At 49.3% G+C, this 24,010-nt stretch overlaps 2 protein-coding genes and 1 long non-coding RNA gene across 19 annotated transcripts in view, besides 4 other annotated features; 2 read left to right on the top strand and 1 right to left on the bottom strand.

The window, feature by feature from the left end:
* The window catches only part of RNF43 (ring finger protein 43), a 65,035-nt gene extending 52,593 nt beyond the window's left edge, over nt 1–12,442 (top strand). For 4 of the 8 annotated variants that reach the window (NM_001438822.1, NM_001305544.3, NM_017763.6 and 1 more), the window contains 7 exons: nt 1,342–1,416; nt 1,536–1,667; nt 2,294–2,398; nt 3,998–4,159; nt 4,691–4,793; nt 6,119–7,474; nt 9,956–11,266. In NM_001438822.1, the coding sequence (NP_001425751.1) occupies nt 1,342–1,416; nt 1,536–1,667; nt 2,294–2,398; nt 3,998–4,159; nt 4,691–4,793; nt 6,119–7,474; nt 9,956–9,999 (1,977 nt within the window). In that variant the 3' untranslated portion in view covers nt 10,000–11,266. Of the gene's footprint in view, nt 1–1,341; nt 1,417–1,535; nt 1,668–2,293; nt 2,399–3,997; nt 4,160–4,690; nt 4,794–6,118; nt 9,744–9,955 lie in introns of those variants that run through there. The other 4 variants (NM_001438820.1, NM_001438821.1, NM_001437987.1 and 1 more) reach the window with 2 other exon arrangements.
* Nucleotides 11,215–24,010, bottom strand: part of TSPOAP1-AS1 (TSPOAP1, SUPT4H1 and RNF43 antisense RNA 1) — a 28,278-nt gene continuing 15,482 nt past the window's right edge. For 4 of the 9 annotated variants that reach the window (NR_038410.1, NR_038412.1, NR_038416.1 and 1 more), the window contains 2 exons: nt 13,028–13,198; nt 11,215–12,943 (listed from right to left, as the gene is read on the bottom strand). This is a non-coding gene — a long non-coding RNA (TSPOAP1, SUPT4H1 and RNF43 antisense RNA 1). Of the gene's footprint in view, nt 12,944–13,027; nt 13,208–18,598; nt 18,663–24,010 lie in introns of all 9 variants that reach the window. The other 5 variants (NR_038411.1, NR_038413.1, NR_038415.1 and 2 more) reach the window with 2 other exon arrangements.
* Nucleotides 11,425–11,960: an enhancer, noted in NCBI's record as "NANOG-H3K27ac hESC enhancer chr17:56430343-56430878 (GRCh37/hg19 assembly coordinates)". NCBI's record gives its function as "activates a minimal SCP1, AML or CMV promoter by ChIP-STARR-seq in primed H9 embryonic stem cells {active_cell/tissue: H9 hESC(primed)}" and the evidence as "EXISTENCE:reporter gene assay evidence [ECO:0000049][PMID:30033119]".
* Nucleotides 12,348–12,777: a silencer, noted in NCBI's record as "silent region_8768". NCBI's record gives its function as "represses an Ori minimal core promoter by ATAC-STARR-seq in GM12878 lymphoblastoid cells {active_cell/tissue: GM12878}" and the evidence as "EXISTENCE:reporter gene assay evidence [ECO:0000049][PMID:35858748]".
* SUPT4H1 (SPT4 homolog, DSIF elongation factor subunit) lies at nt 12,741–19,764 on the top strand. 2 transcript variants are annotated; one of them, NR_073470.2, is made up of 5 exons: nt 12,741–12,877; nt 13,434–13,540; nt 17,358–17,413; nt 17,701–17,754; nt 18,629–19,764. NR_073470.2 is itself a non-coding variant. In NM_003168.3 (5 exons), exons 1-5 carry the CDS (start codon nt 12,807–12,809, stop codon nt 18,694–18,696), a joined length of 354 nt encoding a protein of 117 aa, NP_003159.1. In that variant the 5' UTR covers nt 12,741–12,806; the 3' UTR covers nt 18,697–19,764. The 2 variants fall into 2 exon arrangements, 1 of the variants encoding a protein (NP_003159.1); NM_003168.3 differs by having other exon boundaries at nt 12,741–12,875.
* Nucleotides 13,058–13,167: a silencer, noted in NCBI's record as "silent region_8767". NCBI's record gives its function as "represses an Ori minimal core promoter by ATAC-STARR-seq in GM12878 lymphoblastoid cells {active_cell/tissue: GM12878}" and the evidence as "EXISTENCE:reporter gene assay evidence [ECO:0000049][PMID:35858748]".
* Nucleotides 20,195–20,724: an enhancer, noted in NCBI's record as "active region_12481". NCBI's record gives its function as "activates an Ori minimal core promoter by ATAC-STARR-seq in GM12878 lymphoblastoid cells {active_cell/tissue: GM12878}" and the evidence as "EXISTENCE:reporter gene assay evidence [ECO:0000049][PMID:35858748]".

Here is a 24,010-nt window from a genome sequence, read left to right as displayed (position 1 = left end):
TGGCCCCCTGGGCCTTGCTGCTGTCTGGGGAGTGGAGAACAGAGAGCTGGAGCAAGGAAAGGAGCTGCTCCCAGCCTGCCTGGCAGGAGACCTGCCCTGACAGGCTCTCCCTGGGAAGACAGGCAGAGATCAAAGTGCTGAGCCTGTGAGTAAGTCCCAGCGCTGGCTCTTCTTGCTGCCACCACTACTTGCAGGAGGGTTAACTCCTTCAATGCCTGTGGGAAGACCCCAGAGACTTTGGGGGTGAGGGGGGGCGGTGCCCAGGGATGTAAAATCACAGCCTGATGCCATTAGAAGATGAACCTTTGCCCTAGGGAGGAAGGCTGGAGGGTGGCTGTGCTAGGCCGGGAGGCCCCAGGCCAAGCCCAGGAGCAGCTCCTCACAGTGCCTGTTAGTTGTTTGCTGTTGTGCCTCCCGCCTCCCCCGACCTTTAGCTCTTATCTCCCTTTCCTTACTCCCCTCCCTACACACACCCCCTGGATTCCTGCTTTTTGTTCTCTTTCTGGCACTGCTATCTGTTCTGCCTGGTTGGCTAGATTCTGCTTCCTCAAGCTGACTCTTGGAGCCCTTGGTGAACATGCACGTGTGCATACTCACCATATGGGACTAGCCCCTTGAATCCCTCCCCACTTTTGTCTCTAATGCCACCCTAAGGGAGGGGACGAAAGGATAAACCACTGGACAAGGACTCCTCTAAGTCCTTGAATTGGAGCCAGAGAAAGACTTGGCAAAGTAGAGTGTGGCAAGGAGAGGGAGCCCATGAGATGAGCTGAGACAGGGGCTTTGTGATGGTGGCCTTGCGTGAGAGTGGCGTCCCAGGCTCTTAGACCTTTGCCTGAGCTGGGGAGATGCCCTGCAGGCAGGACTGGGCCCTGGAAAGCCCAGCTCCCTCTGAAGGAGAGCTCTACTTCTCTGCTGTCCCCTTCTTCCTCTCTCTTCTCCTTCTAAGGGGTGCAGGTCCCTCCTACTCTTCGTGCTCATACCTCTTAGTGAAGGCAGGCTGATTGTACCCTGAGGGCAGGAGCTGTGTCTTATTTGTCTTTCATCCTAGAGCCAGGTCCACCACCTGGCACCCTGTAAACCCCCCTTAAGGGTTTGTTCCATTACAAAAGGAAAAGCTAGATATTATCCCTTGAAGGCAGTGGGGACCTGAGTGAGCTCAGGAGGCAGAAGAGGAGATCTTAGACCCAGTGACCCCTTGCATAGGTAGATGTGAGTGTGCAAAGATGTGCTGTGGGCATAATCCTAGGAAGGGATAGATGTGTGAGGGGTGAGGCTAGCCTGTGGGTGGGCTCTGTCCTTCCCTGACCTCAGCCCAACCTCTACTGTGTGCCTCTGCAGGCTCGGATGGCGGGTGAGCGAGGAGCCAGTGCTGTCCTCTTTGACATCACTGAGGATCGAGCTGCTGCTGAGCAGGTACCCAGGGACATTTGCGTGTTCAAGGTGGGGGCTGGATGGAGGAAGATAAAGCTCTCAGGGGAGAGGGAAGGGCAGGGAGAAGTCACAGCAGCCCTGTGGGCACTTTCCCCCTGTAGCTGCAGCAGCCGCTGGGGCTGACCTGGCCAGTGGTGTTGATCTGGGGTAATGACGCTGAGAAGCTGATGGAGTTTGTGTACAAGAACCAAAAGGCCCATGTGAGGATTGAGCTGAAGGAGCCCCCGGCCTGGGTAAGCACACTAGACCTCCAGACCTTGCCCTGCACTTAGCCCTACTTTGTCCTGTGGCAACTCCCACCAAAAGCCCTTAGACTCCTGGAGCTGCGAGAGATCCTGGAAACCCTCTAGTCCAACTTCATCCATCAGCTGTGTGCCTCTGGGCAAGTTTTCCCCCGTCTTTGGGCCTCACCTACAGAATGAACAGATCAGGACAGATGAGTTCTAAAGTTCTTTACAGCTCTGTGGCTTCATGGCATGGAATAGCAGAGCTAGAATGAAACCCTGGTCCCCTGATCCATGACCCCTGATTGGGGCTTCTCTACTGGCCAAGAACCTCATCCAGCGGCTCACTGGCAAGAAACTCCCACCTTGCAGAGGGGTCCCTTTCTCTTTTTTCCCCAAGCACATGGGTTTTGAGATAGTACTTCTCCCAGTGACATCTGGAAGATCCTCTCTGAGTGCCCTTGGGCAGGGAGGGCCCACCTAATCCCACTTGCAGGTTCCTCTCCATCCCCTCAGATGGAGGACTCAAGGGAACCTCCAGTTAGCTATGTGCCTCCCGGGCTCCTGTGTTTCCTCCCGAATTGACCCAGCTCATCCCGGAAGTATGACCCTTTCCCTCTCTGCTCACTCCCCAGCCAGATTATGATGTGTGGATCCTAATGACAGTGGTGGGCACCATCTTTGTGATCATCCTGGCTTCGGTGCTGCGCATCCGGTGCCGCCCCCGCCACAGCAGGCCGGTGAGCAGTGTGGGGTCTTTGGCGGCGGTGAACGTGTGCGTGTGTGTGGGTGGGTGGTTAGGGAGAAGGAAGGAGTACGTGAAGAAGGCACCTTTATACCTATGGAACCATTTACATCAAAATACCCCAGCGTCTGTCTTTGTTGATTTCCAGCAGCCTCTCCTCATATTACTCATCCATTCAACAAATACACCAAGCTCTATTATGTGTCAGGCACTGTTCCAGGTGCTGAGGGTAGTACAGTGAACAAGATGACAAAAAACTCCTACCCTCAAAGAGCTTTTTTATTCTAGAGGGAAAAAACAGACAATAAACAGACTAAATAAGTAAAATCTATAATGTTTTAGATGGTGATATGTACTACGGAGAAAAAATGATAATGCTGATAGCAAAGTGGGGAGGGAGGGAATGCAAGGGAACAAGGTTTTTTTTTGTTTGTTTGTTTGTTTGTTTGTTTTGAGACAGAGTCTTGCTCTGTCGCCCAGGGTGGAATGCAGTGGCGTGATCTCGGCTCACTGCAATCTCTGCCTCCTGGGTTCAAGCAATTCTCCTGCCTCAGTCTCGCGAGTAGCTGGGAGCTACTAATTTTTGTATTTTTAGTAAAAATTAACAGGGTTAATTTTTAAAAGCAAGTCCAGAGAAGGCCACATTGAGAAGATGGCATTGCAGCAAAGACCCTAAATGGGAGAGGGAGTGATCTGTGCAGGTATCTGAGGAGAAAGGGATCTAGGCAGAGAGAACAGTAAATGCAAAGGCCTTAAGGCAGAAATGTGTCTAGTGTATCTGAGGAACAGCATGAAGGCTGTGGCTGGAACAGAGTGAGACGGCAGAGTAGCTGGTGGGGGCCCCGTTGTATTGGACTGTTGAGGCCATTTGTTTTTTACTGTGGGTGAAACAGGAGCCACTGGAGTGTTGTGAGAGAAAGGGCATCACGATCTGACTGAAGTTTTAATATGATCATTCCTGCTGTTGTAATGAGAATAGACTACAGGGAGGCAAAGCTGGAAACAGAGAAACCATCTAAGAGGCTATTGCAGGAATCCAGGTGACAGTAATGGTAGCTTGGATTAGGAAGGCGGCAGTTAAAATGGTGAGCAATAGTTAGGCTCTGGGTATATTTTGAAGGCAAAGCCAACAGATTTAGTAATGGATTGATTGTGGGATATGAGAGGACTCAAGGACGGCACCAAGATTTTTGGCCTGAGCAATTAAGAGAATGGAATTGCCATTTGCTATAATGGGGAAGACGGGGAAGACAGGTATGTGGTTGGAGATGAACCCATGGTTAATAAGATGAGGCCTATAAGTTTGAAATGCTTATTAGATATCCAAGTTGAAATGTCAAGCAGCGGTTGGATAAAAAGTTTCTCTCATGGGTCATCAAAGGAAGAAAAGCTAATGGTATAAGCAGGTGGGTGGACTGGGAGAGCTTGGCATGCTTGGCAGAGCCACATATGAGCTCCGAGGAGACGAACTCCTAAGGATGTTCAACTGGCCATGTGATCTACCTGAGTGACTGGGAACGGAGTCCAAGCTTGGGTCCAGAGAGGGAGGGAAGGGGAGCCCATGCCCCAATCTGAGCCCCATTCCTCTTCCCAGGATCCGCTTCAGCAGAGAACAGCCTGGGCCATCAGCCAGCTGGCCACCAGGAGGTACCAGGCCAGCTGCAGGCAGGCCCGGGGTGAGTGGCCAGACTCAGGGAGCAGCTGCAGCTCAGCCCCTGTGTGTGCCATCTGTCTGGAGGAGTTCTCTGAGGGGCAGGTAAGGCAGGTCTTGTGGTTCACCTCCATGACCAGACTGGGGAGATTGAAGCTGGGGGAGGGGTGGGCAGGCCTAGGGGCTGGTATGGGTACCCTGGCTACATCTGTTTCCCATGTGTCCTGCATGAGGCAGAGATCAGGGACCAGCCTGAAGTTTGGTCACTTTTCTGACCTTCCAGTGAAAGAGCACTATTGTTTGTTGAGAGTGTACCACGTGCCAGGCTGCAGTGGTGCTTTGGATGCATTATCTCATTTTAGACCCATGGCAATGAAGGGTGGGGTTAGATTCATTTTTTTATCTTCATTTTACAGCAGAAAACTGTCTGTTAAGAAAGTTGCCCAACGTCATGCAGCTAAGTGCAAAATCCAGGTCTATGTGATGCCAAAGCTCATACCATTCCTATTCTACTGTGAGGTCTTTTACAAGTAGATAATAGCAAGGAGAGGCCTAAGGGAGTTGGGGGATGTCCTGATTCCTGGCAATTCCTATGGCTACAGAAGCCTTTGGTTTGGACCCCCTCTTTTTCTCCAGGAGCTACGGGTCATTTCCTGCCTCCATGAGTTCCATCGTAACTGTGTGGACCCCTGGTTACATCAGCATCGGACTTGCCCCCTCTGCATGTTCAACATCACAGGTAGGAGGTGGGCCAAGGACTCCCCTCTGTGTAGGCAGACAGGTCTAGAATGTGGCTTCCCTTTGGGAAAGGGTTGCAGCCTTGAAGCTGGGGAGAAAGCAGAACTGCCACCATAGTTGTATGGGCTGTACACTGCTCCAGAGTGCCTCACTCGAGGGGAAGCGTCATTCAAAATGTAAATATCTTTATTTATTTATTTTTTAATTTTAATTTTTATTTTTTGAGACGGAGTTTCACTCTCATTGCCCAGGCTGGAGTGCAATGGCGTGATCTCGGTTCACCGCAACCTCCTCCTCCTGGGTTCAAGCGATTCTCCTGCCTCAGCCTCCCGAGTAGCTGAGATTACAGGCATGCGCCACCATGCCTGGCTAATTTTGTATTTTTAGTAGAGACGGGGTTTCTCCATGTTGGTCAGGCTGGTCTCAAACTGCTGACCTCAGGTGATCTGCCTACCTTGGCCTCCCAAAGTGCTGGGATTACAGGCGTGAGCCACCGTGCCTGGCATGTAGATATCTTTATTATTATTATTATTATTATTATTTTTTGAGTTGGAGTCTCGCTCTGTCGCCCAGGCTGGAGTGCAGTGGCGCGATCTTGGCTCACTGCAAGCTCCGCCTCCCAGGTTCACGCCATTCTCCTGCCTCAGCCTCCGGAGTAGCTGGGACTATAGGCGCCCGCCACCATGCCCAGCTAATTTTTTTTTTTTTTGGACTTTTAGTAGAGACAGGGTTTCACCATGTTAGCCAGGATGGTCTCGATCTCCTGACCTTGTGACCCGCCCGCCTTGTCCTCCCAAGTGCTGGGATTACAGGCATGAGCCACCGCGCCCGGCCGTAGATAATCTTTATTATTGTAAAAATTATTTGTATTTCATGGCAAGTTTGTTGATTCTAAATCTGGGTGATTTATATGTTTATTATTCCAATTTTCTGGCAATAAAATATTCTATTCTAACAAAATCAGTATGTTAACATAATTTTCTAAAAGATGAAAGTGAAATAAATATCTTGAGGAAAGAGAACCTTTTTCTAAGGTACCCACAGGTGCCCTATGGGCTAACAGTGGCCCTGGGTGAAAGAGCTCCAAATGGCTGAGGGGAGGTTTAGGGATTGACACGCATAGTGGCCCTCCCAGGGCAGGCAACCTGACTGGAGGGAACAAAGGAGTCCCAGAGCACAGGCAGCTTAGGCACGTCCTTGATCCCCCAAACTCTGAGCTCACAGGCTACTCAGGGTCAAATAGATTAGCTACAGCCATGTCTTTCTGAATGCATTCTCTGTAGGTTTGTAGAGTTAAACATCTGTGCTCTTGGTTCTTTTTTCCAGAGGGAGATTCATTTTCCCAGTCCCTGGGACCCTCTCGATCTTACCAAGAACCAGGTCGAAGACTCCACCTCATTCGCCAGCATCCCGGCCATGCCCACTACCACCTCCCTGCTGCCTACCTGTTGGGCCCTTCCCGGAGTGCAGTGGCTCGGCCCCCACGACCTGGTCCCTTCCTGCCATCCCAGGAGCCAGGCATGGGCCCTCGGCATCACCGCTTCCCCAGAGCTGCACATCCCCGGGCTCCAGGAGAGCAGCAGCGCCTGGCAGGAGCCCAGCACCCCTATGCACAAGGCTGGGGACTGAGCCACCTCCAATCCACCTCACAGCACCCTGCTGCTTGCCCAGTGCCCCTACGCCGGGCCAGGCCCCCTGACAGCAGTGGATCTGGAGAAAGCTATTGCACAGAACGCAGTGGGTACCTGGCAGATGGGCCAGCCAGTGACTCCAGCTCAGGGCCCTGTCATGGCTCTTCCAGTGACTCTGTGGTCAACTGCACGGACATCAGCCTACAGGGGGTCCATGGCAGCAGTTCTACTTTCTGCAGCTCCCTAAGCAGTGACTTTGACCCCCTAGTGTACTGCAGCCCTAAAGGGGATCCCCAGCGAGTGGACATGCAGCCTAGTGTGACCTCTCGGCCTCGTTCCTTGGACTCGGTGGTGCCCACAGGGGAAACCCAGGTTTCCAGCCATGTCCACTACCACCGCCACCGGCACCACCACTACAAAAAGCGGTTCCAGTGGCATGGCAGGAAGCCTGGCCCAGAAACCGGAGTCCCCCAGTCCAGGCCTCCTATTCCTCGGACACAGCCCCAGCCAGAGCCACCTTCTCCTGATCAGCAAGTCACCAGATCCAACTCAGCAGCCCCTTCGGGGCGGCTCTCTAACCCACAGTGCCCCAGGGCCCTCCCTGAGCCAGCCCCTGGCCCAGTTGACGCCTCCAGCATCTGCCCCAGTACCAGCAGTCTGTTCAACTTGCAAAAATCCAGCCTCTCTGCCCGACACCCACAGAGGAAAAGGCGGGGGGGTCCCTCCGAGCCCACCCCTGGCTCTCGGCCCCAGGATGCAACTGTGCACCCAGCTTGCCAGATTTTTCCCCATTACACCCCCAGTGTGGCATATCCTTGGTCCCCAGAGGCACACCCCTTGATCTGTGGACCTCCAGGCCTGGACAAGAGGCTGCTACCAGAAACCCCAGGCCCCTGTTACTCAAATTCACAGCCAGTGTGGTTGTGCCTGACTCCTCGCCAGCCCCTGGAACCACATCCACCTGGGGAGGGGCCTTCTGAATGGAGTTCTGACACCGCAGAGGGCAGGCCATGCCCTTATCCGCACTGCCAGGTGCTGTCGGCCCAGCCTGGTGAGTTTTCAGAGGGAAGTGGGTGTGGTAGGGAGAGGAGACTACAGCTGAATATTTCAGGACAGGTGAAGTCAGCCAACAAAGGGTTGATGGAAGCTGAGAAGGATACAGCAGAGATGACAACCAAAATACTTAACCATCGGGACAGCGTATCATGCTGGCTAGAGTGCAGGAACACCCCACCTCTGCCAGGTGCTACCCCTTTAGTTGGCAGATCACAGGGAGGTCCCAGGGAGGTGCTGGTGTGGCTGAGGCATCAGAAAGGCACTTGGAAGGCCGGGTGTGATGGCTCATGCCTGTAATCCCAGAACTTTGGGAGGCCTAGGTGGGTGGATCCCTTGAGGCCAGGAGTTCAAGACCAACCTGGCCAACATGGTGAAACCCTATCTCTACTAAAAATACAAAAATTAGCCGGGTATGGTGGCGGGCACTTATAATCCCAGCTACTCAGGAGGCTGAGGCAGGAGAATCGCGTGAACCTAAGAGGCGGAAGTTGCAGTGAGCCAAGATGGCGCCACTGCACTCCAGCCTGGGTAACAGGGTGAGACTCCATCTCAAAAAAAAAAAAAAAAAAAAAAAAAGAGGCATTTGGAATGGTCCCCGGGGTAGTAGCTCAAACATAAGTGTTTCTAAATTTTAATAACTGGTTTAGTTCTACCAATGCTCACAGCTCAGTATTAGTTCTAAATACAAAGAAGGCTAAGAAGTGTTCCTCGGGGGGAGCTATAGTAGAAATAATTACACATAACCATAATACGAGGCTATATAAGAAGAGCTATGTGAACAACGAGAAAAAAGAGAGAGAGAGAAACCACAGGTGGTTCCCAGCAGCCCTGTGGAGCCTTAGGTTTTCTTCTCTTCCCCTGTGGTAAAAGAACAAGGAGGACTTCCCTTCAACACATCATTATTAATAAGACTGACCTTAATTTCTTGGGGATTCAGTGCATCCCTATATCATAAGCAGTGATCACGTAAATTCTCAACTTTAACATGGTGTTTACTTGCCCACATATCTCTCTTTTCCATTCAGGACCTTCCACCTTCTACTCTTCCCCATCTTCCCCCATTGTATGGATGACACAGTTCTTTGTCTACAGCCATCACTAGAACCCTTCCAACCCAGGAGGTGACACAAAGGTCCTGAAATATTCTTCAGTGTAGGAATTCTTCCTGCAGGACCTAGGAGCTGCCCTCATCCAATTCATTCATTTATTCATTTCCTTTCTCCTTCCTTCCTTTTTTTCCTTCTGACTATATGCCTGCTTTGTGCTAGGTTCCAGGCTAGGCTCTGAAGACATGGAACTTGCCAATCAGGACATCCAGGTCCATGGGGAGAGAGCCATGTACTGCAAGCTTTGGCTATGTGTTTGTGATTCCATTCGGACCCTATTGTGTGTGTACTTTGAGTGCTGCCAGTACCACACCACTATCTCCCTTTTCTCTCAAACTCAGAACTAGTTTCAGTGCCTCTCTTTTTCTTGCCTTTCACATCTAATCAGTGCCAGATTCTGTTAACTGTATCTTGGCTAGCTTTATCATGTTCTTTTCAAGTCCAGTACTGATGGCCCTGCCAGTGTCTTAGGTATACCCTAAAGATCCATGCAGGAGCCTCCTAGCTCTTCCCTTCCCTCTTACAGGGCCTCGAAGGCTGAGTGCTGCCCATCCAGTATGTCCCATAAAGTTGTGCACCACAGCTCCACTGCTCACCTACCCTCCCTATTGCTGCCAGCGTCATCTGCCTTACACTAAACTGTCCAGAAATCTTCAAATGTTCTGTTTGTCCACAGAGAGGAAAAATCCAACCTGCTTTGGCCTCAAAGGTTCCTGCACCAGCCAGCCCCCATCTTCCTTCTCAACCTTATTTTCTATTCTCTTCCCTCCCTTCCCCAGGCCCATGCTTTAGCCAAACTGGGTAAACAATTCTTGTAGTTCCTGTAGCCCAGAATATTCTCCTGCCTTCTCTATTCCCATAAATCTAATTCTTACCTATTCCTACAGAATCAGCTCATTTATCCCCACTTCCAGGAAGCTTTTCCTGATTGCTGCACTTGGACCTGGTCTCTCTCCTTCCTTAATGCATCTCTCGTGACTCCTGTCCTGTCCCACTGGCGTAATGGCCATTTGTTTTCATACTTTCTCTCCAAAAAGGTTACCAGGTCCCTGCTTATTCTTTTTGGTCTTCTATTTGGCACGTGGTAGCAGACCAAATTCACAACGAATCCTTAATATTTATTGGGTGAATAAATGAATAGTAAGTATTGGTAACACACTGGTTGCTATATATATTTCTTTAGATTTGTTTTTCTCTCCCCTGTGTCCCAACTGGGGCCCCCTTAGCTTTCAATCTAACCACCCTTTCCAGACAGTCTCTGCTTCTCCCTCCCTGTGGTCCCCTCTCAGCCACACTCTGCTGCAGGCGAGAGAAGCAGGTCCCTGGCCTGACCCTCAATGACCTCTTTCCTCCCCGCTCTCTAAATACAGGCTCAGAGGAGGAACTCGAGGAGCTGTGTGAACAGGCTGTGTGAGATGTTCAGGCCTAGCTCCAACCAAGAGTGTGCTCCAGATGTGTTTGGGCCCTACCTGGCACAGAGTCCTGCTCCTGGGAAAGGAAAGGACCACAGCAAACACCATTCTTTTTGCCGTACTTCCTAGAAGCACTGGAAGAGGACTGGTGATGGTGGAGGGTGAGAGGGTGCCGTTTCCTGCTCCAGCTCCAGACCTTGTCTGCAGAAAACATCTGCAGTGCAGCAAATCCATGTCCAGCCAGGCAACCAGCTGCTGCCTGTGGCGTGTGTGGGCTGGATCCCTTGAAGGCTGAGTTTTTGAGGGCAGAAAGCTAGCTATGGGTAGCCAGGTGTTACAAAGGTGCTGCTCCTTCTCCAACCCCTACTTGGTTTCCCTCACCCCAAGCCTCATGTTCATACCAGCCAGTGGGTTCAGCAGAACGCATGACACCTTATCACCTCCCTCCTTGGGTGAGCTCTGAACACCAGCTTTGGCCCCTCCACAGTAAGGCTGCTACATCAGGGGCAACCCTGGCTCTATCATTTTCCTTTTTTGCCAAAAGGACCAGTAGCATAGGTGAGCCCTGAGCACTAAAAGGAGGGGTCCCTGAAGCTTTCCCACTATAGTGTGGAGTTCTGTCCCTGAGGTGGGTACAGCAGCCTTGGTTCCTCTGGGGGTTGAGAATAAGAATAGTGGGGAGGGAAAAACTCCTCCTTGAAGATTTCCTGTCTCAGAGTCCCAGAGAGGTAGAAAGGAGGAATTTCTGCTGGACTTTATCTGGGCAGAGGAAGGATGGAATGAAGGTAGAAAAGGCAGAATTACAGCTGAGCGGGGACAACAAAGAGTTCTTCTCTGGGAAAAGTTTTGTCTTAGAGCAAGGATGGAAAATGGGGACAACAAAGGAAAAGCAAAGTGTGACCCTTGGGTTTGGACAGCCCAGAGGCCCAGCTCCCCAGTATAAGCCATACAGGCCAGGGACCCACAGGAGAGTGGATTAGAGCACAAGTCTGGCCTCACTGAGTGGACAAGAGCTGATGGGCCTCATCAGGGTGACATTCACCCCAGGGCAGCCTGACCACTCTTGGCCCCTCAGGCATTATCCCATTTGGAATGTGAATGTGGTGGCAAAGTGGGCAGAGGACCCCACCTGGGAACCTTTTTCCCTCAGTTAGTGGGGAGACTAGCACCTAGGTACCCACATGGGTATTTATATCTGAACCAGACAGACGCTTGAATCAGGCACTATGTTAAGAAATATATTTATTTGCTAATATATTTATCCACAAATGTGGTCTGGTCTTGTGGTTTTGTTCTGTCGTGACTGTCACTCAGGGTAACAACGTCATCTCTTTCTACATCAAGAGAAGTAAATTATTTATGTTATCAGAGGCTAGGCTCCGATTCATGAAAGGATAGGGTAGAGTAGAGGGCTTGGCAATAAGAACTGGTTTGTAAGCCCCTAAAAGTGTGGCTTAGTGAGATCAGGGAAGGAGAAAGCATGACTGGATTCTTACTGTGCTTCAGTCATTATTATTATACTGTTCACTTCACACATTATCATACTTCAGTGACTCAGACCTTGGGCAAATACTCTGTGCCTCGCTTTTTCAGTCCATAAAATGGGCCTACTTAATAGTTGTTGCAGGACTTACATGAGATAATAGAGTGTAGAAAATATGTTCCAAAGTGGAAAGTTTTATTCAGTGATAGAAAACATCCAAACCTGTCACAGAGCCCATCTGAACACAGCATGGGACCGCCAACAAGAAGAAAGCCCGCCCGGAAGCAGCTCAATCAGGAGGCTGGGCTGGAATGACAGCGCAGCGGGGCCTGAAACTATTTATATCCCAAAGCTCCTCTCAGATAAACACAAATGACTGCGTTCTGCCTGCACTCGGGCTATTGCGAGGACAGAGAGCTGGTGCTCCATTGGCGTGAAGTCTCCAGGGCCAGAAGGGGCCTTTGTCGCTTCCTCACAAGGCACAAGTTCCCCTTCTGCTTCCCCGAGAAAGGTTTGGTAGGGGTGGTGGTTTAGTGCCTATAGAACAAGGCATTTCGCTTCCTAGACGGTGAAATGAAAGGGAAAAAAAGGACACCTAATCTCCTACAAATGGTCTTTAGTAAAGGAACCGTGTCTAAGCGCTAAGAACTGCGCAAAGTATAAATTATCAGCCGGAACGAGCAAACAGACGGAGTTTTAAAAGATAAATACGCATTTTTTTCCGCCGTAGCTCCCAGGCCAGCATTCCTGTGGGAAGCAAGTGGAAACCCTATAGCGCTCTCGCAGTTAGGAAGGAGGGGTGGGGCTGTCCCTGGATTTCTTCTCGGTCTCTGCAGAGACAATCCAGAGGGAGACAGTGGATTCACTGCCCCCAATGCTTCTAAAACGGGGAGACAAAACAAAAAAAAACAAACTTCGGGTTACCATCGGGGAACAGGACCGACGCCCAGGGCCACCAGCCCAGATCAAACAGCCCGCGTCTCGGCGCTGCGGCTCAGCCCGACACACTCCCGCGCAAGCGCAGCCGCCCCCCCGCCCCGGGGGCCCGCTGACTACCCCACACAGCCTCCGCCGCGCCCTCGGCGGGCTCAGGTGGCTGCGACGCGCTCCGGCCCAGGTGGCGGCCGGCCGCCCAGCCTCCCCGCCTGCTGGCGGGAGAAACCATCTCCTCTGGCGGGGGTAGGGGCGGAGCTGGCGTCCGCCCACACCGGAAGAGGAAGTCTAAGCGCCGGAAGTGGTGGGCATTCTGGGTAACGAGCTATTTACTTCCTGCGGGTGCACAGGCTGTGGTCGTCTATCTCCCTGTTGTTCTTCCCATCGGCGAAGATGGCCCTGGAGACGGTGCCGAAGGACCTGCGGCATCTGCGGGCCTGTTTGCTGTGTTCGCTGGTCAAGGTGTCAGTCGGGGACCTGGTTGTAGGGCCCATGGGGGACCAAGGTCGGGGAAAGAGGGCGGAATGGGGCTGTGGGACAGTAAAGAGAAAAGTTAAGTCTCAGAACTCAGAGGTGGCAGGGGGAGTGAGAAGCCGAAGGAGGCCATCGTTTACCTCGTAGGATCGCGGACAGGTCTTGCAGCTGAGGGCAGGGGCGGTCTTACATGCCTTTGAATCCTCAGCTCTTAGACGTTCGGTGAACTTACGTTGGAGCCGAAAGACACTGGGAGTCAGAGGCGGGTGGGGATCCGCTGCTGAGTGAGTAGTCGGAAAGGATGCCTGACCCTGAGTAGACTAGAGAAAGGAATAGATAAAACGGAATTGGGAACGAGAGAGGAAGGAGTGGGAGGGTGGGACTTAGGAATGAAGCTTTGAGAGTAGTAGGTGGGGAACCTTAGGATACACAGTCAACATAGGGAAACAAGAAATTGAGCAGGTCGAAGTATTGAGAAAGCTACTTTTTCTCTTGGTCTTGTTCATGCTTATCTCTCCTTTTCCTTTATTTTTCTTTCACTCCCAGACTATAGACCAGTTTGAATATGATGGTTGTGACAATTGTGATGCATATCTACAAATGAAGGGTAACCGAGAGATGGTATATGACTGCACTAGCTCTTCCTTTGATGGGTAAGCCGCTTCAGTTTCCATCATTCACTTCTGCATTACCCAACCTGCACCCAGAGAAGTAAATGCAGGGCAAGTGTTAATCCTAGTTGGGCCCAGCCATTCGTTTTTGGGGGTTATTTTGTGTGGGTTTTTTTTTTTTTTTTTTTTTTTGAATCAGGGTTTTGCTCTGTGGCTCAGGCTGGAGTGCAGTGGCATGATCATAGCTCACTGCAGCGTGGAATGATCCTCTGACTTCAACCTCCCAGAGTGCTGGGATTATAGGTGTAAGCCACTGTGTCCAGCCTCAACAGTTATTTTGGGACATACTAGTGCTATGCATCTAATACAGTGACCACTATCCACGTGTAGCTACTGAGCACTTGAAATGTGTCTAGTCCAAATTAAGACATGCTTTTAAGTATAAAATATACCCCAGATTTCAAAGACTTAACATGAGAAGAAAGAATGTAATCTTAATAATGTTTGTTAAATGCATGAAAATTTTTTTTGAAAATGAAGGGAAGGGAGGTGTAGTAATGGTAGATCATTGCCCAAAAGCTGTTGCTTTTTTTTTTTTTTTTTTTTTGGACAGACTTTTCGCCCTTGCCACTCATGCTGGAGTGCAATGGTGCAGTCTCGGCTCACTGCAACCTCTGCCTCCTGGGTTCAAGCAATTCTCCTGCCTCAGCCTCTTGAGTAGCTGGGATTACAGGCACCCACCACCACTCCCAGCTAATTTTTATATCTTTAGTAGAGACGGGGTTTCACCATGTTGGCCAGGCTGGTCTCAAACTCCTGACCTCAGGTGATCTGCCCACCTCGGCCTCTCATAGTGCTGGGATTACAAGTATGAGTCACCATGCCCGGCCCATTTTAGCCATTTTACTTATTTATTTATTTATTTATTTATTTGAGATGGAGTCTCGCTCTGTCGCCCAGGCTGGAGTGCAGTGGCGCAATCTCGGCTCACTGCAACCTCCGCCTCCCAGGTTCAAGCAGTTCTCTGCCTCAGCCTCCTGAGTAGCTGGGATTACAGGCACCTGCCACCATACCCAGCTAATTTTTGTATTTTTAGTAGAGACGGGGTTTCACCATGTTGGTCAGACTGGTCTTGAACTGCTGACCTCGTGATCCACCCGCCTCGGCCTCCCAAAGTGCTGGGATTACAGGAGTGAGCCACAGCGCCCGGCTGCAATGGCACGATCTCAGCTCACTGCAACCTCCGCCTCCTACCTCAGCCTCCTGAGTAGCTGGGATTACAGGCGCCCACCACCACGCCCAGCTAATTTTTGTACTTTTTTTAGTAGAGACAGGGTTTTGCCATGCTGGCCAGGCTGGTCTCGAACTCCTGACCTCAGGTGATCCTCCCGTCTCAGCCTCACAAAGTGCTGGGATTACAGGCATGAGCCACTGTGCCCGGTCGCCATTTCTAAATACACAATTCAGTGGCATTAGTGCATACTCACTGTTGTGCAACCGTCACCACCATCCATCTCCAGAACTTTTTTCATCTGTACCCATTAAACACTAGCTCCTCGTTCTCTCCTCCCTCCTGTCCCTGACAACCACCATGCTTTGTCTCTATGAATTTGGCCACCTTAGGCACCCTTAGGTACCTATGGGCTCATTCAGTAGCATTTTTTAGCTTCTTTCACCAACATAATGTCTTCAAGGTTCATTCATATTGTAGTATGCAACAGAATTTCCCTCCTCTTTTGAGCTGAATAATATTCCCTTGTATGTGTATAGCATGTTCTGCTGCCCATTCATTCATCAATGATATCTTGGGTTGTTTCTCCCTTTTGGCTATTTGTGAATAATACTGCTGTGAACATTGGTATACAAATATGTGTTCAAGTCCCTGCTTTTCATTATTTTCAGTACAGATGCACCTCAACTTCCGAGGAGTTACAACCTAATAAGCCCATCATAAGTTGAAAATATAAGCCAAAAGTGCATTTAACACACCCAACCTACTGAATATAATAAGTTAGCCTACTTCAAATGTGCTCAGAACGCTTATGTTACTGTGGCTGACCAGAAGCTGTGGCTCATGGCTGCTGCGCAGCATCATGACAGAATATTGTACTGAATTGCTAGCCTGGAAAAGAACAAAATTTAAAATTTGAAAACGATTTCTATTGAATGCATGTCACTTTTGCAAAATCATAAATTTGAAAAATCATAAGTTGAACTAAGGTAAGTCAGGGATCATCTGTATATCCACAAGTGAAATTGCTAGATCATATGATAGTTCAGTGTTTAATTTTTTGAGGAACTGTCATACTGTTTAGCAACTGCACCATTTTCCATTCCCACCAACAGTGCCCAAAGGTTCTAATTTCTCCCCATCCTCACCAACACTTAATTATTTATTAATAATAGCCATCCTGATGGGTGTGACTTTGGTGTCCCATTTCCCCCAATGAATGGTGATGTTGAGCCTCTTAGGTGCTTATAGCCATTTGTATATCTTTGGAGAAATGCCTATTCAAGGCCTTTGCTCATTTTTGACTTCAGTTTGGTTTTTTTGTTGTTAGGTTGTAGGAATTATTTGTATAATTCTAGTGCATATTAGGTCTTAAAGAGTGGGCAAATTAAAGATCGGAAGAGGGCTAGATGACCTCAACCAGAATTGGAAGAGGTAGTACTTTCCTCTTAAGGCAAGAAGTTTGGGATTTTTGAGGAAGTTGAGGTGAGAGAGAGAGAGAACATTCCAAATAAAGGGAGTGACTAGAGCAAAGGCTTAGGATGGGAAAAACCAGGATGTTTTTGGAGAACAGTGGGAATTCTGTTTAGGTTAAATCATAAGGTTGGGCTGTAGGGACCCTAAGGCTAAAAAGATAGATTGCAAAGGACAGAGAAGAATATACTTGTGGTCAGGAGGATGGCCTGCATACATGCCTATCTCCCATCAGGCTGCAGGGCTGGGGGCTAGTGTTCTGCTTGTCACCCCTGGAGGTAGGGTCGGTTCCACTTAACAGCGCATGGCTGAGAATGTAGGATTTGGATGGGAAGGGAATCTTCTCAAATAAGAATCCAAGATTGTTACTGAGAGAAGAGGGGAGGCATATTGAGGCAGTCAACAAATGTCAGTGCTTACACCCACACAATAGGCAGTCAGTAAGCATTTGATTGAATGCGTTGAATGACAAAAATGCTTACCCATCTTGCTCAAGCAGCATCTTCTAGCCCTTGAATAGCCTTACCATTCCTCTGGAATCACAGCTACCTGGGAAGGACTATTAGGATAATGAGGAGAGCTAATGCTTATTTAGCACCTACTCTGTGCTAGTCTTTGTGCTAGGTGTTTTTCATGTATTATCTCAACCTTTGAGTCTCAGCTTACTGATGAGGTTCTGAGAAGGGAACCCCACATGTATAGGTCATTAGAGGGGTCCCCATATGTATAGGTCATTAAGAGGAAAAGTTTAGCCAAGTTGAACTCCTTTCTAGTAGGAGGATCCGTTGTTTTCACTCACCCTCCTCTTTGCACTAGGCCCTAGACCCCTTGTAGTTGTGTTAGTTGTAACTATTGGACCCCTTGTCCTAAAGCCGTCTCATTTTCTAGGGAATGTTAGGCTAAGGATGTTTGTGAGCTGAGTGAGATAATCTTTTGGGGATGGAAACTGACCTGTGGCTGGCCGGCCAAGGACATAAGAATGAAGAACTTTTGTCAGTCCTAGCTTTGAGTCAGCCTCATCCCAACATCAGAAGGCAGTTTTGCCAGCTTTCCAGTGGAGACTCGGTACTTGGCTTTTTCCTAGATTCCTCTCTCAGAATTGAGCTCAGGCCCAGGGAGGCTCAGGCTGACTCTCCATTTCTTTTCCCTCCCTAGAATCATTGCGATGATGAGTCCAGAGGACAGCTGGGTCTCCAAGTGGCAGCGAGTCAGTAAGTGTTGGCCTGTCTCCTTTTGGCTTAGTTGTAGTGTTGTTACTGTTCCTCAGGTCCATTAGGGAGTCTCAAATCAGCAAGATGAGTGACCTCAGGGTGGGAAAGATCGGGTTGTAGGAAACACAGGGAAGCAGTGTCCTGTGCCTTGTCATTTAACACTTGTAGCCAAAAGAGGGAATAGCTCTTCTCTTGGAGTTGCATCACTTCTTTAGCTTAAGCTTCCATTTGATCTTGAGTCTTAACTAACTTCACTGTAATCTTGTATCTTTTTTCTTCTCTCTCAGGTAACTTTAAGCCAGGTGTATATGCGGTGTCAGTCACTGGTCGCCTGCCCCAAGGTAATAATAATCATAACAGCCAATGTTCATTTACTGTAAAGCTCTGTGGAAGTTTTTTTATCTGAATTAATGCCAATTCTCACATTCTATGAGGTTCAGCATTTTACAGATGGGGGGAACCAGGCACAGAGAGGTTAAATCACTTGCTGGAGGTCACCAGGTAGTAAATGAGGAGCCAGGATTGGAATCCAGGCATTCTGGCTCCAGAATTTTTGCTGTTTCTGTTTTTTATTTTTTTTAGAGACAAGGTCTCACTATGTTGCCCAGGCTGGACTCTAACTCCTGGGCTCATGTGCTCCTCCCACCTCTGCCTCCTGAGTAGCTGGGACTACAGGTGCTTGGCTTAGAACCTTTGCTTTTGATGACTACATGTATCCCTCTTTTTCTTCTCATTCTTACCGAATACCTGCCTGGGTCTTCACTAGTAATGAGTCAACTAAGCAGGACCTTTTTTTTTTTTTTTTTTTTTGAGACAGAGTCTCTGTCACCCAGGCTGAAGTATAGTGGCATTATCAGAGCTCACTGCAGCCTTGAACTCATGGATTCAAGGGATCCTCCCGCCTCAGCCTCCCAAATAGCTGGCACTACAGGTGCAAGCCACTACACCTGGCTAATTTTTAAAATTTTTTTGTAGAGATGGGGCCTTGCTCTGTAGCCCAGGCTAGTCTTGAACTCCTGACCTCAAGTGATCCACCTTGACCTCCCAAAGTGCTGAGATTGCAGGCATGAGCCACCGTGCCTGGCCAAGCAGACGATTGATAAGTAGTCTAGGAACTCCAGTTTGCTTATAGTACCCCCCTCAAGGTGGCAGCTGAGTGGCCTATCTTACCCTTCTGAATCTTACCTCACAGAACTGTTTCTTTTCCTGCTTCAGGAATCGTGCGGGAGCTGAAAAGTCGAGGAGTGGCCTACAAATCCAGAGACACAGCTATAAAGACCTAGCAAGATGCAAGGCTGCCAGCATCTTTGCTCTCCACCTCCTGCCTCTGCTTATTTCTTGTTCTGGAACTAAATGAACAGAACTTCAAATACTTCCTACCCTCCAATTCAGACTCAGCTGACTGTTGAGAGAGCAGCACATCATTTTATCATTTTATCTTCTTTGGACTACAGGTGGGGTGGGAGGGATTTGGGTTGGTGGATTAACAGATGGAATTGAGGAGAGAGTAGGATGCTGATTTTCCTACCCGTGGCCCAGGTCTGTGCCTTCCCCATGCCAAGGACTCTAGGTCAAATGTCAATAAATATGAACCTCGAGAAAGTTCTGAAGGCCATGACACCTGCCTTGCCTCCCTCTTCCATTCTCTTAGGCACAGTAATAGCTTATTTGCCCTATAAGAACCTTCCCAGAGCAGCAGAGGCCCTTCTACTCCCTCTTGACTGTCTCAGCCTCTGGGATTGCAGCCTTTGTAGTGTGCTTCCTTGCTTCCTATCGGAGGGTGCTGATCCAGAGGCTCAGTAACCCCATCAACTTGGTGGCCCTGGTGTCTCACACTTGTATCCTTCTGCCCTCGAGACCTGGCACAGCAGTATCCCTTGAAGAAATCCTGAGGCTTTGTAGAGTGCTCCTTGACCATGTTTAATAATTCTTCCCTCCCCTGCTTGTCTATTTTCTTCTCTTCACGGCTCTTCCTATACCTTAGGCCAGTCTCAAGCACTCACTGGAGACCCTTGGGCCTTGGGCGACCATTGAGTCCTAGTCTCCCTTGTTTGTGCCCCTGTAGGAGGTAGGTCCTTTTCTCCTCCGGCCTAGTAGGGGACCTTGGGTAACATCCCATTTTTCGGCCAAGGTGAGTTGTTTTAGGATAAAAAAATTTACCACAAATTCTCATTTAAATTTCCACAGAAATCCTGTTCGTATCCCCATTTTGATTTCCCTAAGTTCCTTGTTCTCCCTCTAAAAAGAGAATGATTGCACCCTGCCTGTTTACCTCAGGATTGTTGTGATTGTAGAAACGAAGCTATGTGAAAATTATATAAGTATTATAAAGGTGAAATACTTTTGCTCTCCTTTTTGGGCCATTTTTCAATACATAGAATATGTGCACAATCAGCCAAAATAGTAGGGGAAATGCTGAGAACCACAACTGCAGGGTGAGCTGTGCTGTGCTAGGGCAGAGCTGCCTGTGCTAGGGCTTTGTGTCTCAGCCACCTGGTGTTGCTCTTGAGTTGATTTTGCTTGTTACCTGTGGCCTGGAGAGTGTGGGAAGGAGGAGAGATGCGACCTGACTCTGATTAGTTTGTCTACTCCCCTTCCTTGTCCTCACATAGGCCTATGGGAGGGAAACTGGGACTGGCCGGGCTGCTCATGTCCACTATGGTCTTCAAACCAAAACCATTTTCTCTGGTGCCTTCAAGCTCTGAGGGAATGGTCAGATAACCCCAACTCCAAACTGAGTTTCTCAAGGATTTCCCCAGCCCAGCAAACAGAAAGCTCCGTGGGTGGTGATTTCTGTTCAATTTCAACCTGAAAGCAACCCTGCCAGGCTAGAGCTTACGTCCTGGATGGAAGAAGTGCGTTTCAGCAAGTGCCCAGGCTGTGCAGCCAACACCCAACTTTCACTAGCTTCTCAAAAAGTCCCTTGGAAAGCCCCAGCTGCTGTCCTGGGTGTCTGACCCGGACGTGGCTGCTTGGTGAGAATGGAAACAGTTGTGGGGAGGGGAGGCAAGAGGAGCTTGCACAAATAACCACATTCAGGCTGCCTCAGCCCTACACTGAACTGGGCCCTAACTGACAGTCTCACAGGAAGCAAAAGACATAGCATAGGCATTGATGCTTGTGGGGGAAGGGTGGCCTGTTTTCCTTCCTGGACTCTACAGACTGTGCCAAGTGGGCTCTCCCCGGGAGCTGCTGCTGAATTAGCTTTCTTGCTTTCTCTGGTACTTGAACATGCAGGTGGTGCCACTCAGCAACCCAGACAGGCAGAAAGGTGCTGGAGTCCCATCCTCTACTGGGAACCCAAAGAAACTAAGACAAGGACTTGGTTCACAGCTCCCTGGGAGTGGGCGGTCCTGGTACTGCTGCCCTGCTTTCCATGGCTATGAGGGCAGCCATGAGAGCTATGTCCTGCCCCATTGGCCCATTGTGTCTGTCAGAGTTTCAGTCCCGTCCTGGCTGCCGAAGTTCTGAGTGCATAGCATCTTAAGATCTCTCCTTGTCTTGCTCAGTAGTTTGGCTTCTCTCCTGAAGAGCAAGCCTCCTCCCTAGCTCAACAAGGACAGATGCAAGTCAGACAGAGACTAGGAATAGTAGCCAGGCTGCCTTCCCCTTGCCTGCCCTTGCCTCATTCCCTGCTTCCTCCCTGCCACATACTGTGGAATTAGGGTCTCCCAGAACACTGAGGAGCTCAGTGGCAGTGCATTGATAATGCAGCCTCCAGCTCAAGAAAGGACTGGTAGCTGATAGAGCAAGGGTCAGGATGGTCTGGTCTTGGAGGGGAGCAGTTTCACCAGGGTTGGGAACTGAGGCTTTGCTCTTGGTGTGGCTTCTGCCTTGTTACTCCTAGTCTGTCTGCAGCCTGCTACTTGATCCTCAGGTCCCCTCCCTGACATCTGGTCTCTATGAAAGAGGCAGGTAGGTCATGTTTAAGAACAGACTAATAATAACTTTGTCTGGAAGTCTGGTTCATGTTTAGTATCAGTAAAGCCTTTCATGTAAATATTTTTACAGTTGACAAAGGTGCTGGGTGCTGTGGCTCATGCCTCTAATCCCAGCACCTTGGGGAGGTCAAAGCGGGCAGATCACTTTGAACCCAGGAGTGTAAGACCAACCTGGGCAACATGGCAAAAGCCCATCTCTACAAAAAATTAGCTAGGCATGGTGGTGTACACCTGTAGTCCCAGCTACTTGGGAGGCTGAGGTGGGAGGATCCCTTGAGTCTGGGAGTTTGAGGCTGCAGTGAGCCGTGATGGCGCCACTGCACTCCAGCCTGGGGGACAGAGTGAGACCGTGTCTCAGAAAACAACAAAACAAACCCAAATACAGTTGACAAAGGGCTTTCATATCCAGTATCTCATTTGATTCTCACAGAAACCCTGGAACTAGTTAACATCCTTATTTGGTGATGAGGAGACTGAGACTCAAAGAGTTAAAGTGTCTTGACTGGGCACGGTGGCTTATGCCTGTAATCCCAGCACTTTGGGAGGCCAAGGTGGGTGGATCATGAGATCAGGAGTTCAAGACCAGCCTGGCCAAGATGGTGAAACCCCGTCTCTACTAAAAATATAAAAAGTTAGCCAGGTGTGGTGGCGGGCGCCTGTAATCCCAGCTACATGGGAGGCTGAGGCAGGAGAAGTGCTTGAACTCGGGAGGCGGAGGTTGCAGTGAGCCAAGATCGTGCCACTGCACTCCAGCTAGGGTGACAGAGCAAGACTCTGTCTCGGGGTGGGGAAGAAAAGAGTTAAAAGTGTTTTAGCCATAATCAAGTAGTGGAGCCTCAGCTCAAGAAATATAATGTCCACACTAAGTTTAGGGCTACTAACTGTTTGTGACATAGTTGTCCACAAACACAGCAAGTTTTTTTCCCTCCATAAGTGTTCAACAGAACCAGTGTGAGGCATTAGCTTTCTTCTGAGTGAAGTTATTACAACACATTGTCCCTACACGTTGAGCCCACCAACCACTCTAATCCCACCACTCTAGTCCCTAAGTCTAAAATTAGCCAAAGAGATGGAGGCAGTGGGGCAATGGCCCAGGGAGGGGATCCTTGGGATTTACTCAAGGATTCCTGTGCAGAGCATTGGGAAACCAGTCTAGCCCTTCATGAGTTACCCCTGGCTGCATCTTCTATTCCACTCCAGCAGCTCTTACGCACCTGCTGACCTGTGTGCCCCACACCTCCCAACCTCTCTTTTTCCTCCTCACCTCCCTCAATCTGCAGACTGATGATGGCACCGTCACACCCCACTGGAACACTGAGACTTGTGCGATGAAAATACATGTATCTAACTAAGGGCAGAGTCCTGGCCCTGCTGCCTCCACCAGCCACCAACCCTGTGACTTTCCCAAGTCACCTCTAAAATGAAGTTTCTTGTCTAGGAAGTGCAGTTGACAAAACTATGATGTTAAGGGCAGGATCGTGGTTAGCTGTGATAGGTGGTGGTGGAGGAGGGCATGAGAAGCACCTAAGGTGCTGGTTATATTTTGTTTCTTTCTTTCCTTCCTTCCTTCCTTCCTTTTTCTTTCTTTTCTTTCTCCCTTCCTTCCCTTTCTTTCTTTCTTTTATTTTCTTTCACTTTTTTTTTTTTTTTTTGAGACAGGGTCTCACTTTGTCACCCAGACTGCAGTGCAGTGGCATGATCATGGCTCACTGCAGCCTCAACCTCCTGGGCTCAGTTGATCCTCCCACCTCAGTGCCTCAAGTAGCGGGGTCTACAGGCATCCACCACCACATCCAGCTAATTTTTATATTTTGGTAGAGACGGGGTTTTGTCATGCTGCCCAGGCTGGTCTCGAACTCCTGGGCTCAAGCCATCCACCCACCTCGGCCTCCCAAACTGCTGGGACTACAGGCATGAGCCACTGCGTCCGGCCTTTTATCTTGATCTTGATGCTAGTTATGTAGGTCAGTTCACTTTCTGGAAATATATTGTTATATACTTAGGATTTGTTCACTGTTATACTTCAAATAAAAAGTTTGCTTTGGCTGGGTGTGGTGGCTCACGCCTGTAATCCCAGCATTTTGGGAGGCTGAGGCAGGTGGATTGCTTGAGCTCAGAAGTTTGAGATCAGCCTGTGCAAAGGGCGATGCCCTGTCTCTACTAAAAATTTTTTTAAAATTAGCTGGGCGTGGTGGCACACGCCTGTAGTCCCAACTACTTGGGAGGCTGAGGCAGGAGGATCACTTGAGCCCAGGAGGTCACGGGTGCAGTGAGTCCCAGTTGTGCCACTGCACTCTAGCCTGGGCAACAGAGCAAGACCCTGTCTCAAAAAAAAAAAAAAAAAAATCAAATACAATAATTTAGGCAAAAGCAATTTGAGAGTTGTAAACTATGTAAGGAATTGTCATTATCCAAGGTTGCCTATCTCTAGGTAAGTTCTAGATAGGTGTGACAAGAATTTCATCCTTCCAGCATTGTTGGGTAATGGTAATAGGTGTTCCACCACATATATCATACATAAATACATCAAAACTGAATCAAAACAGAAACATTTTCCTTCAAGCACCAGGGCTTTTTTTTTTTTTTTTTTTTTCCAAAGACAGGGTCTTGTTCTGTTTCCCAGGCAGGAGCGCAGTGGCACGATTGTAGCTCACTG

Source organism: Homo sapiens, chromosome 17 (genome assembly GCF_000001405.40).
Source record: "Homo sapiens chromosome 17, GRCh38.p14 Primary Assembly".
In the NCBI taxonomy this organism is placed as follows: Eukaryota; Metazoa; Chordata; class Mammalia; order Primates; family Hominidae; genus Homo; species Homo sapiens.
The sequence above is the reverse complement of the archived record's forward strand: the minus strand, read 5'-3'. Positions and strand labels throughout refer to the sequence as shown.

What these genes read in the sequence shown, in the direction of transcription:
- SUPT4H1 (NM_003168.3), top strand. Translation starts at nt 12,807, where the DNA reads ATGGCCCTGGAGACGGTGCCGAAGGACCTGCGGCATCTGCGGGCCTGT. An exon ending in ACTAGCTCTTCCTTTGATGG is followed by an intron (nt 13,541 to 17,357) that starts GTAAGCCGCTTC and finishes TTCCCTCCCTAG; the next exon opens with AATCATTGCGATGATGAGTC. An exon ending in CACTGGTCGCCTGCCCCAAG is followed by an intron (nt 17,755 to 18,628) that starts GTAATAATAATC and finishes TTCCTGCTTCAG; the next exon opens with GAATCGTGCGGGAGCTGAAA.